The sequence below is a fragment of the Homo sapiens genome, chromosome 17 (assembly GCF_000001405.40).
Source record: "Homo sapiens chromosome 17, GRCh38.p14 Primary Assembly".
NCBI lineage: Eukaryota > Metazoa > Chordata > Mammalia > Primates > Hominidae > Homo > Homo sapiens.
This window is the reverse complement of record NC_000017.11, coordinates 67,685,225-67,701,188: the sequence shown is the minus strand read 5'-3', so window position 1 is coordinate 67,701,188 and position 15,964 is coordinate 67,685,225. Positions and strand designations below refer to the sequence as shown.

General features: G+C 41.4%; 1 protein-coding gene and 1 long non-coding RNA gene across 6 annotated transcripts in view; one reads left to right on the top strand and one right to left on the bottom strand.

The window, feature by feature from the left end:
* LOC101928045 (uncharacterized) overlaps positions 1 to 15,964 on the top strand; it is a 42,523-nt gene that overhangs the window by 16,490 nt on the left and 10,069 nt on the right. For 2 of the 3 annotated variants that reach the window (NR_188293.1, NR_188292.1), the window contains exon 2: positions 11,816 to 11,918. This is a non-coding gene — a long non-coding RNA (uncharacterized LOC101928045). Of the gene's footprint in view, positions 1 to 1,387; positions 1,478 to 11,815; positions 11,919 to 15,964 lie in introns of all 3 variants that reach the window. The other variant, NR_188294.1, reaches the window with a different exon arrangement.
* Positions 3,933 to 15,964, bottom strand: part of PITPNC1 (phosphatidylinositol transfer protein cytoplasmic 1) — a 319,976-nt gene continuing 307,944 nt past the window's right edge. For 2 of the 3 annotated variants that reach the window (NM_012417.4, XM_047435746.1), the window contains exon 9: positions 3,933 to 8,617. In NM_012417.4, coding sequence (NP_036549.2) covers positions 8,301 to 8,617 — 317 coding nt within the window. In that variant the 3' untranslated portion in view covers positions 3,933 to 8,300. Of the gene's footprint in view, positions 8,618 to 14,004; positions 14,124 to 15,964 lie in introns of all 3 variants that reach the window. The other variant, NM_181671.3, reaches the window with a different exon arrangement.

The following is a 15,964-nucleotide window of genomic DNA, read 5'->3' as shown; positions in this document are numbered from 1 at the left end:
ATATTGTCAGTGGAATTGTAAATTGGTATAATTTTCTTTGGAGGGGATGTTGGCAGTAAGGACCCAAAAGTCAGGAAAATACTTACATCCTTTGACCCAGTAATTCAATTTCTGGGAATTTATCCAGAACAAATAATTAAAAAGAAGACATAAGCTATGTTGCAAAGATGTTCCTAATGGCACTGTATATAATAACAAAATCTGGAACATAACCTAAATGCTAAATAATAAAGGAATGTTTAAGTAAGTTACTGATTTTCAACCCAATGGAATATTATATAGCTATGAAAAATGATAAACATGCTATGTACCAAATGTAAAGGTGTTTATAAAACAATTCAATATCCTCAAAGCATTTTGTAGAAAGACAGGCATGTACGGATTATGCTCTACAGAAAAATTCTAAAGTACTTAAGGTGAAAAGTCACATTCTTGGATTTATATAATAAGATTTTTAGCAAAATGCAAAGAAATACAGTTAACTGTAAGATGACAGTGGGAAAATTTAAACTTGTAGAATCTTTGTAAATTTTCAAGTTGTATTCTGAGAAAAGACAAAATATGCATTCAGTACTGTTGACTGACTGCACAGAGAAAGCAGCAAGCTGTCTCTGAACACTCTGAATATAATCACTGGTATGCTTAAGAGCACAAAATGATTCTCAAGGGTTGCTAATGAGCTGTAAACTGCCAGCATCTTGCCTGTGGAATCTCTTGGGAGCAAGAAAGTTATTTTGGAATGATTTTTTTTTAAAAAATCACAGAAGTCCAGATTTGGCCACCCTCAAATACGCTCCAGGGACAAAGCGGTCAAAACTCCCTTCTACAAAAGCTAAAGGAGGGGAAATGATGGCCCTGTCTTTTGTGTCTGCTTACAGTGCGGAAAGTTGGTACTTACAGTTAAACATAATTAGCCCTTAAATCCCAGGTGCTTAATTCAGCCCGTTAATGTTGCTTCACTGAATGGCTGATTCAGTAGGTTTCTGAGGCTGTGTCGTTTCTTTGGCCACAGGCTAGCTCCATTCCTCAGTGCTGGGAACAGAGCAAAAGCATTAAGGCAAAGTCCCAGCCTGCTTCCAACTTTCCCAGGAGCAGGGAAGCACTTGAAGATTTGGATTTGAGTGGGATATCCTACTAGGTTGCATACTATGGAAAAAGGAGGATTTATGGGAGGATGAAATGTCAGGGGGCAGGTACATTAGGCAGAGAAAGTCAGTCTGTCAGCTGGAAAACAGGGTTTGCCTGGATCAACCGCACTGAGTTAAACACACACACAACTGTATGTGAACATGCACAAAGATTGTTGTTCCAAAGGCGTCAAAGCTTCAGGACTGAGGGTGACATTTTTGTTCTTCTCTTTTTTTTTTTTTAATTTTTTTTTTTTAAGACATGGGATTTCACCATGTTGCCCAGGCTGGTCTCAAACTTCTGGACTCAAGAGAACCTGTCTCAGCTTCCCAAAGCGTTGGTATTACAGGTATGTGAGCCACTGAACCCGGCTGAGGGTGATATTTTCATACAGGGATATTTCACGACAGGGTTGGAGAATGGTCGCATGATTTTCCTGAACTTGAGAGGCCAAGATGCAGCTGGAGGTCAGAGGCAAGAAACCCCAAGTAGAATGTAATGAAGGAAACAAGGACTTTTTTTTTTTTTTTTTTTTGAGGCAGAGTCTTGCTTTGTCACCCAGGCTGGAATGCAGTGGTGCGATCTCTGCTCACCGCAACCTTTGCCTCCCAGGTTCAAGTGATTCTCCTGCCTCTCAGCCCCCCGAGTAGCTGGGACTACCAGTGCCGCGTCACCATGCCTGGCTAATTTTTTGTATTTTAGTAGAGACAGGGTTTTACCATGTTGGCCAGGATGATCTTGATCTCCTGACCTCGTGATCTGCCTGCCTCGGCCTCCCAAAGTGCTGGGATTACAGGCGTGAGCCACCGCGCCCGGCCGAAACAAGGACATTTTAGAAAAGAATGTGGGCGTTTGGAAATCTAAAGAGTAATGCTCAAATGAGATAATGCCTTGATGAAAAGCTGTAGTAGGAAGCTGGGGGTGATACAAACATATATATATATATATTTAACATTAGGCATCCAAATGTTTAACCACCCATATAGTTTGGTCCCGGGAATAAACACCCAGCCTGGCTGTACCCAAGTTCACTGGCTGAAAGTCAGCCAACAACAATGTGTGGAAAGTTTGTGTGTTTTGAAAAAAGAAGTAAAAGGCAGGTTGGGGGTGGTAATGGTGAAGTTGGAGCTACAAAAGCAAGCATGTTTTTGTTCATTGGAACGATGCAATATGATTTTGGGAAAATTTTCAGTGTAGAAAGCCGACTGATGGTGTGCTATTCTATGAAGCTGTGTGCCTGATCCAGTCACAGATTAGAACATAGGATGTGGATGATTCAAGAGGAGAGAACAGAGTGAGAGGTATATGCTGTTTTAGCAGGAGACTAACGAGCAGGGGGCTAGAAAGTAATTCTGGCTGGGTGCGGTGGCTCACACCTATAATTATCCAGCACTTCGGGAGGCTGAGGCGAGATGATCACTTGAGTCCGGGAGTTCAAGACCAGCCTGGGTAACATAGTTTAACCAGTCTCTAGAAAAAATAAAAAATTAGCTTGGTGTGGTGGTGTGTACCTGTAGTCCCAGCTACTCTGGAGGCTGAGGCAGGAGGATCACTTGAGTCCAGGAGGTCGAGGCTGCAGTGAGCTGTGATCACACCACTGCGCTCCAGCCTGGGTAACAGAGTGAGACTCGAAAAAAAACCCCAAAGAAATAAAAGTTTCTGTCCTCAGACTACCCATCTGCAGAGAACCCTTTTGTGTACAGGAGCTACCTGAGATGGAGAAACCACATCAGAGTGATTTCAGCTCACCTTAAAAACTGGCCCAACCTTCAGTGGAGAGAATCTAGGAACACCACTGGGATGGTGTTCCTACAGATTCCCTCAGGGTGGATAGCTTCACATTCGAGGCGAGGGAACCAAGCACCTGGTGGACGGATGCATGAGTATCCCACTGGGTTACAGATTCACCTCGGGTTTTTTTTTTTTTGAGACGGAGTCTCGCTCTGTCACTGGAGTGCAGTGATGTGACCTCGGCTCACTGCAAGCTCCGCCTCCCGGGTTCACGCCATTCTCCTGCCTCAGCCTCCCGAGTAGCTAGGACTACAGGCGACCGCCACCGCGCCCGGCTAATTTTTTGTACTTTTAGTAGAGACGGGGTTTCACCGTGTTAGCCAGGATGGTCTCGATCTCCTGACCTCGTGATCTGCCCGCCTCGGCTTCCCAAAGTGCTGAGATTACAGGTGTGAGCCACTGCGCCCGGCCTCAGCCAGGGTTTTTTTGTTTTGTTTTGTCTTTTTGAGACAGGCTCTTGCTCTTTCACACCCAGAGTGGACAGCAGTGGCGTGATCTTAGCTCACTGAAGCCTCCACCTCCAGGGTTCAAGTGATTCTCATTCCTCAGCCTCCTGAGTAGCTGCGACTACAGGCGTGTGCCACCACGGCTGGGAAATTTTTGTATTTTCAGTAGAGATGGTGTTTCGCCATGTTGGCCTGGCTGGCCACCTTGTGTAATTTTTGGCTGGATAATTAGTGCAGACACTCAGACTTTTCCTACCAAGGGTCCTGAAGGTGCCATATGCCTACTAGCAGGCAAGGCCACACAATGACACAGAAGGATGGCATCTGTGAGGATCAACTTTTGTTTGCTTTGCTTATAGTCTGTAATGCTGTGTATTCCAACACCTGGTCCTTCAGCAGTGGCAGTGGTATGGGGATGGGTAAAAAAATCCATAGAGGAAAAGAAGCAAGCCCATCAACCCACAGGTGAACAATTACTAACATTCCCTCGAGAATAGCTAAAGAGGAGAGAGAGAGAGAGAGAGAGAGGGCGAGCGAGAGAGAGAGAGAGGAAGCTACGCTTGCAAAGAAGATTGCTTTGTATTTTATTTACAACAGAATGTAAGAAAAAGTAAGTTATTAACAATAATAAATAACTAGGAAGAAAAACACAGAACAGCCACAAAATGACACAGAAGGATGGCATATGTAAGGATCAACTTTTGTTTGCTTTGCTTATAGTCTGTAATGCTGTGTATTCCAACACCTGGTCCTTCAGCAGTGGCAGTGGTATGTGGATTAATTTAACCAATCAAGATCCCAGCTTGAATGTAAACACTACAAATTACACTTGAGCTACATGTGAGTGGTACAGGTACAACACCAACTCAGAGACCCTCTCCTGGGTGATATATAGAAACTGAAGGGAGACTTGCAATTTGACAGACATGCTTTCAATTTAAAGCAAAAAACATCAAGAGGCTTATCCTAAAGTCCTTGTTAATTTAACAACAAAATTACAATTATTAATGGCATCTGAAAATTTCCCAACATATTCACATTCTCTTATTACACTAACTCCTAAAAAGCTTAAACACTTATATTTCAAATGCAAACAGATTGTTTTGAAGGTAGAACACAAAAGAACCCAATGTTTTGCCTCAGCATGCCAACAGTGTGCTATTGTGTACACTTCAGTTTCAGCAAGAATGAATAGTTAAAATAGTTTATTCATAATCAGATTGCAGTCACTGGACAGACTTTTTAAATCTCAAGAACTATGGCTCAGATGACAGATTGTCTCCTAGCCTACTGAGTCAGATGATCAGAAAGGTACTAAAACTATTTGGACAATTCCTCTCTATTGGATTATCTGATTACACATTATATGTAGAGTCAGCTATACACTGGCCCTTCTTAAGAGTAAAATTCCTATCGACGTAAGCCAGCCAATGACCTATTACTTTGTTGTCGCTGAGCCATGAAGAGATGCCAAAGAAAGTAGAATTTAAAAATACACATAAATACATTAGCCCTGAAACTTTTGCAGAGAATGATTTATCGAGATGTATCAGAATCTATTCTCTTAGTTCACTGTTTATTACAGTGTCTTGAAAGAAAACCACAGTTACTTTTGCAGGTATTGTGGTAAGTGTCTGCATAATATACCCACAACTGTGCTACTTAGAGATTTATTTTCAGGACCAACAACATGGCTAATAAATACTTCCAAATAAATTAAAATTTTCCTCACACACAGATGCAAAACCGTAACAGAAGCCTTGATAAATCAGTTCACCAACAAACCCATATTGTTTGAGTTACAACGGTGGCAACTAAAAATGTCACGGCCTCCTTCATTGTGTTCCTTTTCCTTTGCTTTGTCTTGCAACAACCCAAAGTGAGAAAATGAAATGATCTTCAGAGGTGATTTCTAACAAAGCTTATGTGTTAAATACACCAAGATCTTCTCATCCCAGGAAAGCACAGCTAAAGCAAGAATGCCGTGCTATGGCCAAGAAAATGCACAGGGGCACTTCACATTTGAAATCTTCCCAGAGTTATGAAATGTACAGTCATTTTGATGGTCTCCACTAACTTCAGAGATGAAGATGGAGTGAACGTATGTGATATTCTATGGATTATTTATTTAAGTTTGGCTACCAGAGACTTAAAACTGATGGTGTCTGATTCACTATACTATATTTATATTTATATATATATATATATATATATATACACAGGTATAATACAATTTTGGTGAACAAAGTTGAAGGTTTCCATATCGCAGACAGAGGCACTGAGTTAAGGATTCTATTTCCCCCCAAACATGCTTAGCAAATTCAAGTTTCTGCTTTTTTTTTCTTCTAATTTCCATCATGCAGCCATTTGGCTTCCATCCTTCTAAGAATTATTAATGTTCTGTATATATACATCCATTGCAGGCTTGTATTCCACAATAACAAAGTCATGTATAGAGAATGTGAAATGATACTTGAAAACCAAGATATATAAAATATTGAAGTCATTTATGCCTTTTGATGACTGGGTTAAATATGCAAAGCAGCTAAAGGAATATTTACACCACCCACCCCCTTTTTAACTCACACAAAGCATATGTAGACAGAAAAACTGAACATACTTTAAGAGCACACGCTTTTTTTTCGGCTAAGAATCACACTATCATCGTAGCTTTGCAACTGATGTCTGTGGTAACATACTGGTTATAAAAGAAATGAAACTCACAAAAGGAAATTAGAACTTAGCTTCCTAAAGCATATAGAATTGTTAACCTTGACAGCAGAAGCTACTTTATAAAAAGGGAAAATAGCAATGCTCTTAATGGAAAAACTAGGTGCCAGATGTGTTTAACAGCCTGCACAAAATAAATACATTCTATGTGAAAATAATGACCCCATCCCACCTTGATTTTAGCTTGCAAATGGTAAGCAAATACATATACTATTTCAGTGTCTTCTGAAAGTAGCATTTTGCTCTCTAAAGCAAAACATTTTCATTAAGTACTACTGTGTGGAGAGGGAGGGATTGAGAAGTCCGAGGGGTCTGATAAAATATTAGGTTTTCCCACAAGCAAAAATCATGCTTCCATACCATGCATAGAAGGTGTCTTACTAAGATACTATCATTCTTAGGGAAGAGATACACTGTTGATCTAAGCTATTTGCAACAGGTTTCCTTTGAGTTCTAGGTTTATTCTTTTTTTTTAAGCTAAATATCAACCTATAGATAAAGAAATGATCTTGACAGTCTGACCTATGACTTAGAAAACTTTGGTGCTGGGCTCATGGGGCCAGCGCCTGCACCTTGGGAGAGTGTATCAACCTGAAAGACACTACACAGAGTGCTGAGCACTGAGAGGGAAGCAGGCAGGGTCCACTGGCAGAGAGGCTGTGTGAGAGAAGCAGATTATGCTCCTTGGTCTATTTTGTTTCCTTTGGGATCTGTGTTTTGGGAAGGTCCCTTTCCTGAGGTTGGAGGTTACGATCAGGAAGGCTAGCTGGGGCGTGGGCCTCCAAGTTGCCCAATTACTTCTTCTCTTCCTCTCTTGGAGGACAAAAGTCAATGCTGAGATTTGGCCTGCCCTCCCGTCTGTGTTTAAAGGCAGTGAGGTGCAAAGGTGACAGATTTCTCTCTTTGGAGCAAAGGAGAATTGTCTTTCTGTCACTTCAGTGAGTGACCTTGCCTCCTGTCAACCTTGATTCTAATCTTGCATTACCACTAGTTGAAGAAAGGAAAGCTAGACAGAAGGGCATCTATTATCACTCCTCCTTTTCACTCTACAAATAGGAGTCAGCAATTCTGCTCATTCTCTCCTCCCACTTGACAGTAGTTGCTTGATGTCTGTGACATTCCCAATATTTGTATTTCAAGTAAGGAGCAAGAGAATGACAGTCTTTTCTAAGGTCTGGTGGTAGGCAATCTGTTCCAGGGAATTCTGGATGTTACTAAGAGTAAAACAAGGAAGGGGATGGGAGACAGTTCTCTTTTTTATAGTTCATGCACCAGACATTCTGACCATGTTAAAGCCCAGTTAGCTTACTCTACCCTTGTACTTCTTTGAGTGGGCAGATAGTAAATGAATTCTATTCAATTAATTGCAAATTCTGAGAATCTTAATTGATGATGGAAGCTGACAAGTCAAGGTTTGTTGGTACCTGTAGAGAAAAAAGATGTTGCCTCACCTGGGCCTCTTGGTTCCTAAACTGAACCATTCCAAAATCAGTTATGGTCACATTCATCCATGCAATTCTTAAGGATTTCTGAGGCCACAAGGGCACAAAAGGGGAAAGTTATTAAAAGACAGAAACAAGTAGAATCTTTATTAAATTCTGTGGAAGGTATAAATGAGTTATTATTAATTGCACTTGGAGCCTCTATAGCTTGATGATTAAAATTTTCAAAAGTTTAGAGTTAATTAGGCTCCAAATCCTGAGTCAGACTAACCACAAAATAGGAATCTCAGTAACTATTGGTATTCAAGTATTAGTAATTAGCAGTTCAAAATTTAACAGCTAAGTATGTTATGCCTGAGAGTATTTTGGAGAATTTTAGATTTGATGAGAGGAAACTGACTTCACTATTTTCTACCGTACCTTGTAACAAAAGTGGTGCAAAGTTTTCATTCATTTATCCTTGAAGTCCATGCCAAACCTCATCAAATGCCCAATAACAAGGCTTCCTCTCTGGCATACAGCTATGTGGTTACAGAAGATTCCTTCTGTCCTTTGCAAGTCTTACATCTTACATCTAATATGATGCTGTGTAGCATACTTAGGGAATCATATTCTATGTGAAGTTACTGAGTCACATGCACACTGAAAGGTCGAAGGAACATGTTTGAGTGACAAAGCAGTCTTTTTCTCTATCAGAAGATTCTTAAAAAAAAACAACAACAACAAATGAAAATATAAAACCCCATGAGATATTTATATAAAGTTACTCAGATTTGGGCCGACATGGCTTATCTGAAGAGTGCATGCCGGGTAAATTCAGGGTGGCTTTTTTCTCAGGGTCTGGAAGTGTGAGAGTTTCTGGGGCAGACTTTTTCCGGGGCCGATCTTTGGGAACGGACAGAAATTCGGGTGCGTCTGTGGAGAGAGGGGTGGATGGAGCACTAGAAGGCGCACTGCGGACGGAAGAAGGCAGCAGGGGGATGCTGGAGATAGAAATTGCAGGTGGGAAAATGCCGATTTTCTTGTTGGTGGCTTCCTGAGTGGCTCGTTCAAATTCTCGGACTTCATCCATTGTCATGTCTTCAAGGAGAAAAACAGAAAGAAAAACGAGCAGTTATTTATAAGAGAGGCAAATAGATTCATCACTACCCTTGTTTTTACAGGAACTATGGGAACCCTATCATAAAGGGGCCTCTCCCGATTATACACCCAAAGTATCATTGAAATACCAAACCCCCAATTTTTTCTATTGGAAGCTACACCCTGAAAACAATATCCCTTTATGATTATCCATTTAAGATTTTCCAAAGCACTCTTCACAGTGAGTATTTTAAGTATTCTCAATAAGGACTTAACAGTAGAATACAGAACTAGACGGGGGAAATATGTGCCTGTGTGTGTGTATGTGTGTGCACCCGTGTGCATCTGTGTTGTTGTGGGTCTGGTGTGGGGTATTTGGAGCTATAATTAACTGGTCATATTTTTCATAAAGAGAAGGTAATTAAAACAATCAATGGCCCTGAAATGACACATATTATTGTCATTATTGTCAACTTTAGATCATGAAAGTATACCTTTATAGGGTAAACAGGTAAATCATCAGGATTTTTCAACATACTATCTTCTTTTTTTTTTTTCTTTCTGAGACGGGATCTCACTGCATCACCCAGGCTGGAGTGCAGTGGTGCGATCATGACTCACGGCAGTCTCGACCTCCTGGGCTCAAGTGATCCTCCTGCATTAGGGCCCCGTGAGGCTGAAACCACAGGTGCATGCCATAATGCCTGGTTTAATTTTTTTGTATTTTCTGTAGAGACAGGGTCTCGCTATGTTGCCTAGGCTGGTCTTGAATTCCTCACCTCAAGTGATCCGCCTGCCTAAGCCTCCCAAAGTGTTGGGATTACAGGCGTGAGCCACTGTACTCAGGCCAACATGCTATCTTCTTAATCAATACATATACTTTTTTATTCTGAGGGGCCACAAAGATGCTGTTGTTTCTGGTTTCCTGACTGTGTGTCGATCCTAAGAAGGTTCAGAGATTGTGTTTTAATAAATTCAGTTTCAAAAACACGTAAATCAACAATTTCACCACACCCTGCTAATCATTCCAAAGCCAAGAAAATAAAACCATTTCTTGAGGAAACTTAAAAAGAATAGAGAATGAAAGGAGAGGATCATTTAATAGTGAGGATTCTATTTAAAAGAAAAAAAAGCATGACTTGGAATTCAACAAATAAGACAGTGATACCACTGTTAATAATCATTGTTGGATAATGTAGGTTTTCCAAATACCTGAAATGTTCTTATTTAAGTGAGAAAGTAAAAACAGTATTTAAAAAATGTAAATCTTTCCCTAATGTGTTTAATGTATTATACATACTTCCTACATTTGAGACATAATATGTTGAAGATATATCACTGTGCAAAAATACAGTTCCTTAGTTCCTTCTCAGGGTCTATTTGCTCTTTATGGCTTGATATCTCTTCTCTCATGCTCAGAAACTCTATTATTACTGTTATTATTTATTTATTTATTTATTTATTTATTTGAGATAGAGTCTTGCTCTGTTGCACAGGCCGGAGTGCAATGGCGTGATCTTGGCTCACTGCAACCTCCACCTCCTGGGTTCAAGTAATTCTCCTGCCTCAGCCTCCTGAATAGCTGGGACTACAGGCACGTGCCACCATGCCCTGCTAATTTTTGTACTTTTAGCAGAGACAGGGTTTCACCATGTTGGCCAGGCTGGTCTCGAACTCCTAACCTCGTGATCCACCTGCCTCAGACTCCCAAAGTGCTGGGATTACAGACCTGAGCCACCGTGCCCAGCCTTATTACTGTTATTATTAATTATTGTTACCCTGGCTATCCCTGGTATCCTTTGCCATTTTTACTTGCTGGGAACAGGGAAAAGAGGAACCTGGGCTTATTAAAGACTGAGTCAAGGCCCAAGGCTTATCCTGGAGCAAAATGCAAAATTTAGTGCCCGCGGATTTTCTGTATCTGTTTTGGCCCCCCAGAGACCCATTTTTCATTGTTTCTTGTCCACTGCCATGTACTTAGCAGTTGAAACTTCATTAGATAATATTGGAGGGAATAACCAGCAGGAAACAATATAGCCACTTTGGAAATACTGAGTATGTAATGAATATTCATAACACAGTATTAATCCTTAGGACTTTTCTTTTTCTTTTTTTTTTTTTTTGAGACAGAGTTTTGCTCTTGTCTCCCAGGCTGGAGTGCAACGGCGAGATCTCGGCTCACTGCAACTTCCGCCTCCGGGGTTCAAGCGATTCTCCTGCCTCAGCCTCCCGAGTAGCTGGGATTACAGGCGTCTGCCACCACGCCCGGCTAATTTTTGTGTTATTAGTAGAGATGGGGTTTCACCATGTTGGCCAGGCTGGTCTCGAACTCCTGACCTCAGGTCATCCGTCCACCTCAGCCTCCCAAAGTGCTGGGATTATAGGCATGAGCCACCGTGCCCAGCTTAATCTTTAGGTTTTATAACATCTGAGCAAACCAGAAGTATTTTTCACAAAATGAAATCCTTAAGAGGATTTCCTGGGAACAATTATTAAAATTTTCTGAAAGGGAAAGTTTTTACAAAGGATATAAGTCATTATGACTATGTGGATAAGATATAAAATTCAGCATATATCAAGAAAAATTGTACCTATAAACTTACCAATTTTTAAAAACATGGAAGACTATTAAATGAGCTAAGAAGTGAGATTAAGGTTATATAAAAAGAGGCATTTATTTCACAATAAAGTTGAGACTGAGAAAAATTTTAGTGTATCAGGGTATGTTATGTTTTTGCTATGATAAATGGATATTATCTTTGAAAAAGCAGACTTTCTTAATCAAGTGGCTGAATACATTGTTCTACTCCACATAGCCAGCAGGGGGCAGAAATAATCTAAAGCACAGAATTTTGATTTTCCACTCCCAGAGGCTCTTAGAAGTTCCCGTCCTTGAAGGCTTTGAACCTGCTCAATTGAAAAGACTTATTTCCTCACTGCTGTGTTCATGGATGTTAATTTTGCCTAATTTCAATCTAATTTGTCCCTGCTTGGGTTGATGATCTAAAATTCATTTAGCACCCATGCAGTTTTTATTTGTGACAAAGAGCCACCTCCTGATTTTCACTGCTTTTCATTATGATACAGGAGAAAGACTAAGGAAAAATAAATGTGCTCCAATTTCACGGAATTCCAAAGGATAATGGAAATGTCATAAGCATTCAAAATAACCACTTTGTGTAACTTCTCCGGTGGCAGGCATCTTTCACCCTGAAGTCACGGGAACAACGCTGAGGGGCAGCCAGAGATTATGTGGGCTTTTCCATGGGAAGAACCACTCTACGTTATCACCTTCTACATAGTAAGTGGACTTTATTTTTTATTTTACTTTATTTATTTATTTTACTTTATTTATTTATTTATTTATTTGAGATGGAGTTGCACTCTTGTTGCCCAGGCTGGAGTGCAGTGGCACAATCTCTGCTCACTGCAACCTCCATCTCCTGGGTTCAAACGATTCTCCTGCCTCAGCCTCCCGAGTAGCTGGGATTACAGGCATGCGCCACCACGCCCAGCTAATTTTGTATTTTTAGTAGAGACGGGGTTTCTTCATGTTGGTCAGGCTGGTCTTGAACTCCCGACCTCAGGTGATACGCCCGCCTTGGCATCCCAAAGTGCTGGGATTACAGGCGTGAGCCACCGCACCCAGCCATGGACTTTAATTATAAAGTAATAATCACAGTAAAACTGAAAGAAAGCCAAGCCAAGGGGCTTATAAGCTGTGAGAAAATCACTGAGCTTAGCATCTTTTAGCCATCTGGTGTCTCCTCTTTACCTGTGGCTTCTTCCTTTGTTTGCCTGGTCATATTTATAGTGAATGGCTTTCAGAGTGGCTGAGGGGGAACTGGGGCCCAACATTTCTAAAAGAAAAGGTAATTGAAAGTGATAGAAATTCAAGGAGAGTTTCCTTAAAGAGCACTTCTAGGGGGAAGTCCTACTGGAATTGGTCTGTGCATAGAGAGGAAACGCCTCTTGCTCCAACAGTTTCCTGCAAATCAGATCACTGCATGCAAAATGGGAGAAGAGTTAGGGCCCTTGCAACCTCAAGGGCAATCACATGCAACCAGTTGCAGCACATGAGACTTGCAGGGCACATTCCAAAGACATGCTCCAAAAATTTAACTAAAAATTTCCAAAGTGCAATCAGAAGGTCTTCACAATTCTAAAGGATCCATTTATGACAACAGCCACATCTAAATTTCCTAGAACTACAGCATTGATTTTTTTTTTTTTGAGACAGAATTTTGCTCTTGTTGCCCAGGCTGGAGTGCAATGGCGCGATCTTGGCTCACTGCAACCTCTGCCTCCCAGGTTCAAGCAATTCTCCTGCCTTAGCCTCCTGAGTAGCTAGGATTACAGGCATGCGCCACCACACCCAGCTAATTTTGTATTTTAAGTAGAGACGAGGTTTCTCCATGTTGGTCAGGCTTGTCTCGAACCCCCGACCTCAGGTGATCCACCTGCCTCGGCCTCCCAAAGTGCTGGGCTTACAGGCATGAGCCACCGCGCCCAGCTGATTTTTTTTTTTTTTTTTAACACCTACTATGTATTATTCTGGAGACTGGGCTAATGGACATGAGGACTCAAGGCGGAACCCAAAGAGATCACAGCTCTGGCTGAAGATGCAAAGAAATGATTTGGTGATTACACTTTTCTTTGTTATCTCTAGCTACCCTTCATTAGCATGAATGATTGAGAGATTACGATACTTAAAATGCTGGCATACAATATACAGTCAGCTCTCAATTTCCAGTGTGCAACGAAATAACTGAGGCTCTCTAAGGCTTACCCTAAGTCCCAGGGATCTGCTAGGCAGCTCAGCACATCCCCAGCTCACACCCCTTCACTGCTCAGCCTGTGTGTCTGCACAGACTGCAGCCCATCTTGAGATTATCCTAAGTAAAAAGGAACTGATTGGGTAAAACAGCTATAAAGAGCCACAGAAAGCTTTTCAAAGCAAATGTAAAGAAACCTAAAATAGCTGATGAGCCAGAAGCCCTCCCTTGAATGAATAAGTGAGTGTTAGCTATGTTTTTAAAAGTTACTGACATGTTATTCTAGTTTACATATGACATCGATTTTCACTCCTCTGCTCTTTTATGGTGCAGGCCGTTTTACTAGTCCCACAAAAGTGTTTCCACTCTCCATGTTCTTGGTTTTATGACCGAAATAACCTCCACGTCAAGCAACTTTAAGGGATCGAAATGTCTGGAAGAGAGAGGTGACACTGCCCAATTTAGATCCAGCTCAGGTTCTGCAGCAACAGGGTCTGGGTGACGACATGTTTCTATGGAAGGTTGCGAACCGGGCATCTGCAGTATTTCCCAGATCAGTTTACATGTGCATTTGTGAAAGGGTGGGCAACATGTTTTAAAAATTCTACGTACACTTGTTTGGGCATGACTCTCTATGTCATCCACAGGGGAGGAATGCTGATTGCAAACTTTTATGTTGGTTTGTTCATGCATGTTTTTCTCGTATTCCCGAACATCATCCATTGTCATATCTGAAAGAGGTCAAGATGTTGGCAACTTCCGTTATTAGATGCAAACTTTCAATGGGGACACTTTAGGGAAAGATGGTAGCTGAGCAGTAGCCAAGGAGGTTTAAAAAAGCAGAGACTTGTCTAACTTTATGATGAGTAAGTCATAAAGTTAGCTAAACCAACCAAAGGGGGAGTGAGGGCAAGGAAGTTAAGTCAAAATAGTCTTAGAACAGAGAAGAGTGGAAATTATTTAGGGGTGATTCTTGTAAAGTGAGCTAGGTTTGGGTAGAAAGTATTAGCATGTGGGCAGTACCATAGCCTGAGATCTCCTAAAGCATCATTAGAAGATCCCATTGGGGACAGAGGGTCAGTTTTGCTTGGTTTAATACTTACCTTCCACATAGCTTTCAAAATAGATTTAGAGGTTGTTTAAATCAATGCATTCAACAACAGAAAGGACACTTTCATTGCTGTTATAGGAGGCAGGATGTAGAAGGCAGAGCAATGATATTCACTGGTACAATTGAGATTTGGTGCAACTTGCACACAGATGTAAATTTGCACAGAATGCATGGCGTCAGAGAGTGCAGGTCTATACTGAACCTCAAGTCTTGGCTAACAGCTTGAAGATGGCTGGCACTACTTCCACCCACACTGATCTAAAAATAAAATGGCACATGACATGATTTTTGGCCCAAGTCTGCAGTTTTTCAGTATTTCAGGATAATGATCTCTTAATCTAGTGGTTCTCAACGGGGGACAATTTTGTGACATTTTTGGTTGTTAGAACTAGGGAAGGGGTGCTACTGGCATCTAGTGTGCAGATTCCAGGGACACTATGGAGCATCCTACAATGCACAGGACCCCCAGCCCCCAACAAAAAATTATCTGGTCCAAAATGTCAATAGTACCAAAGTTGAGAAACCCTGTCTTAATCCAACTGATAAAAATGTTCAGGCCAGGCATGGTGGCTCATGCCTGTAATCCCAGCACTTTGGGAGGCCAAGGCGGGTGGATCAATTGAGGTCAGGAGTTCAAGACCAGCCTGGACAACATGGTGAAACACCGTCTCTACTAAAAATACAAAAATTAGCTGGGCATGGTGGAGGGCGCCTGTAATCCCAGCTACATGGGAGGCTGAGACAGGAGAAGCACTTGAACCCGGGAGGCAGAGGTTGCAGTGAGCTGAGATCACACCACTGCACTCCAGCCTGGGCGACAGAGTGAGACCCTGTCTCAAAAAAAACCAACCAACCAAACAAAAAAAACTTAAATAAGGAACCCATCCACCTTCAGTATGTGAAATGCATATAAATAACAATTAGTCTCACTTCAAATACTTCTGTCATTTTACCCCCACCCCTACCCGGCTCCTTGGTTATTTTACATTTTATCAGCAATATTCCCAGGTAGGCATTCCTCTGTTACTCTCTTGGCAGAGCGGAACTTCATGCTCTTTACCAATGATGGTATGCCGAACAAAGTGCTTCCTCTGCCACCCTGACCACTAATTGGCTTAGTGGGGATTTAGAGTGGGCATTCACAGCTGGAATTTTTCCTTAGGTATTTTCTGCATCATGTGGTTTGGTGTCTTTTTATATCAATCCATGTGTCATGTGAGATCCTCTTCATTTCCAAAGGGCAGATTTGCCAGGAGTTTATGATTTAATTCACTGTGGTCTGGGACCAAGATGCTGTGTGCCTCTAAATCCAGACCTGGTCTATTTTATGCAGAAGATCATTCCCAGGTATACCTGGAGATCCTCAATCGCAAATGCGGTCCATAAGCAATGTAAGTATCAAGAATGCTAAGCAGCAGCTTGGCCAAGCAAGGAGCATGCTCTTCTTTTAGAAAATCGAGG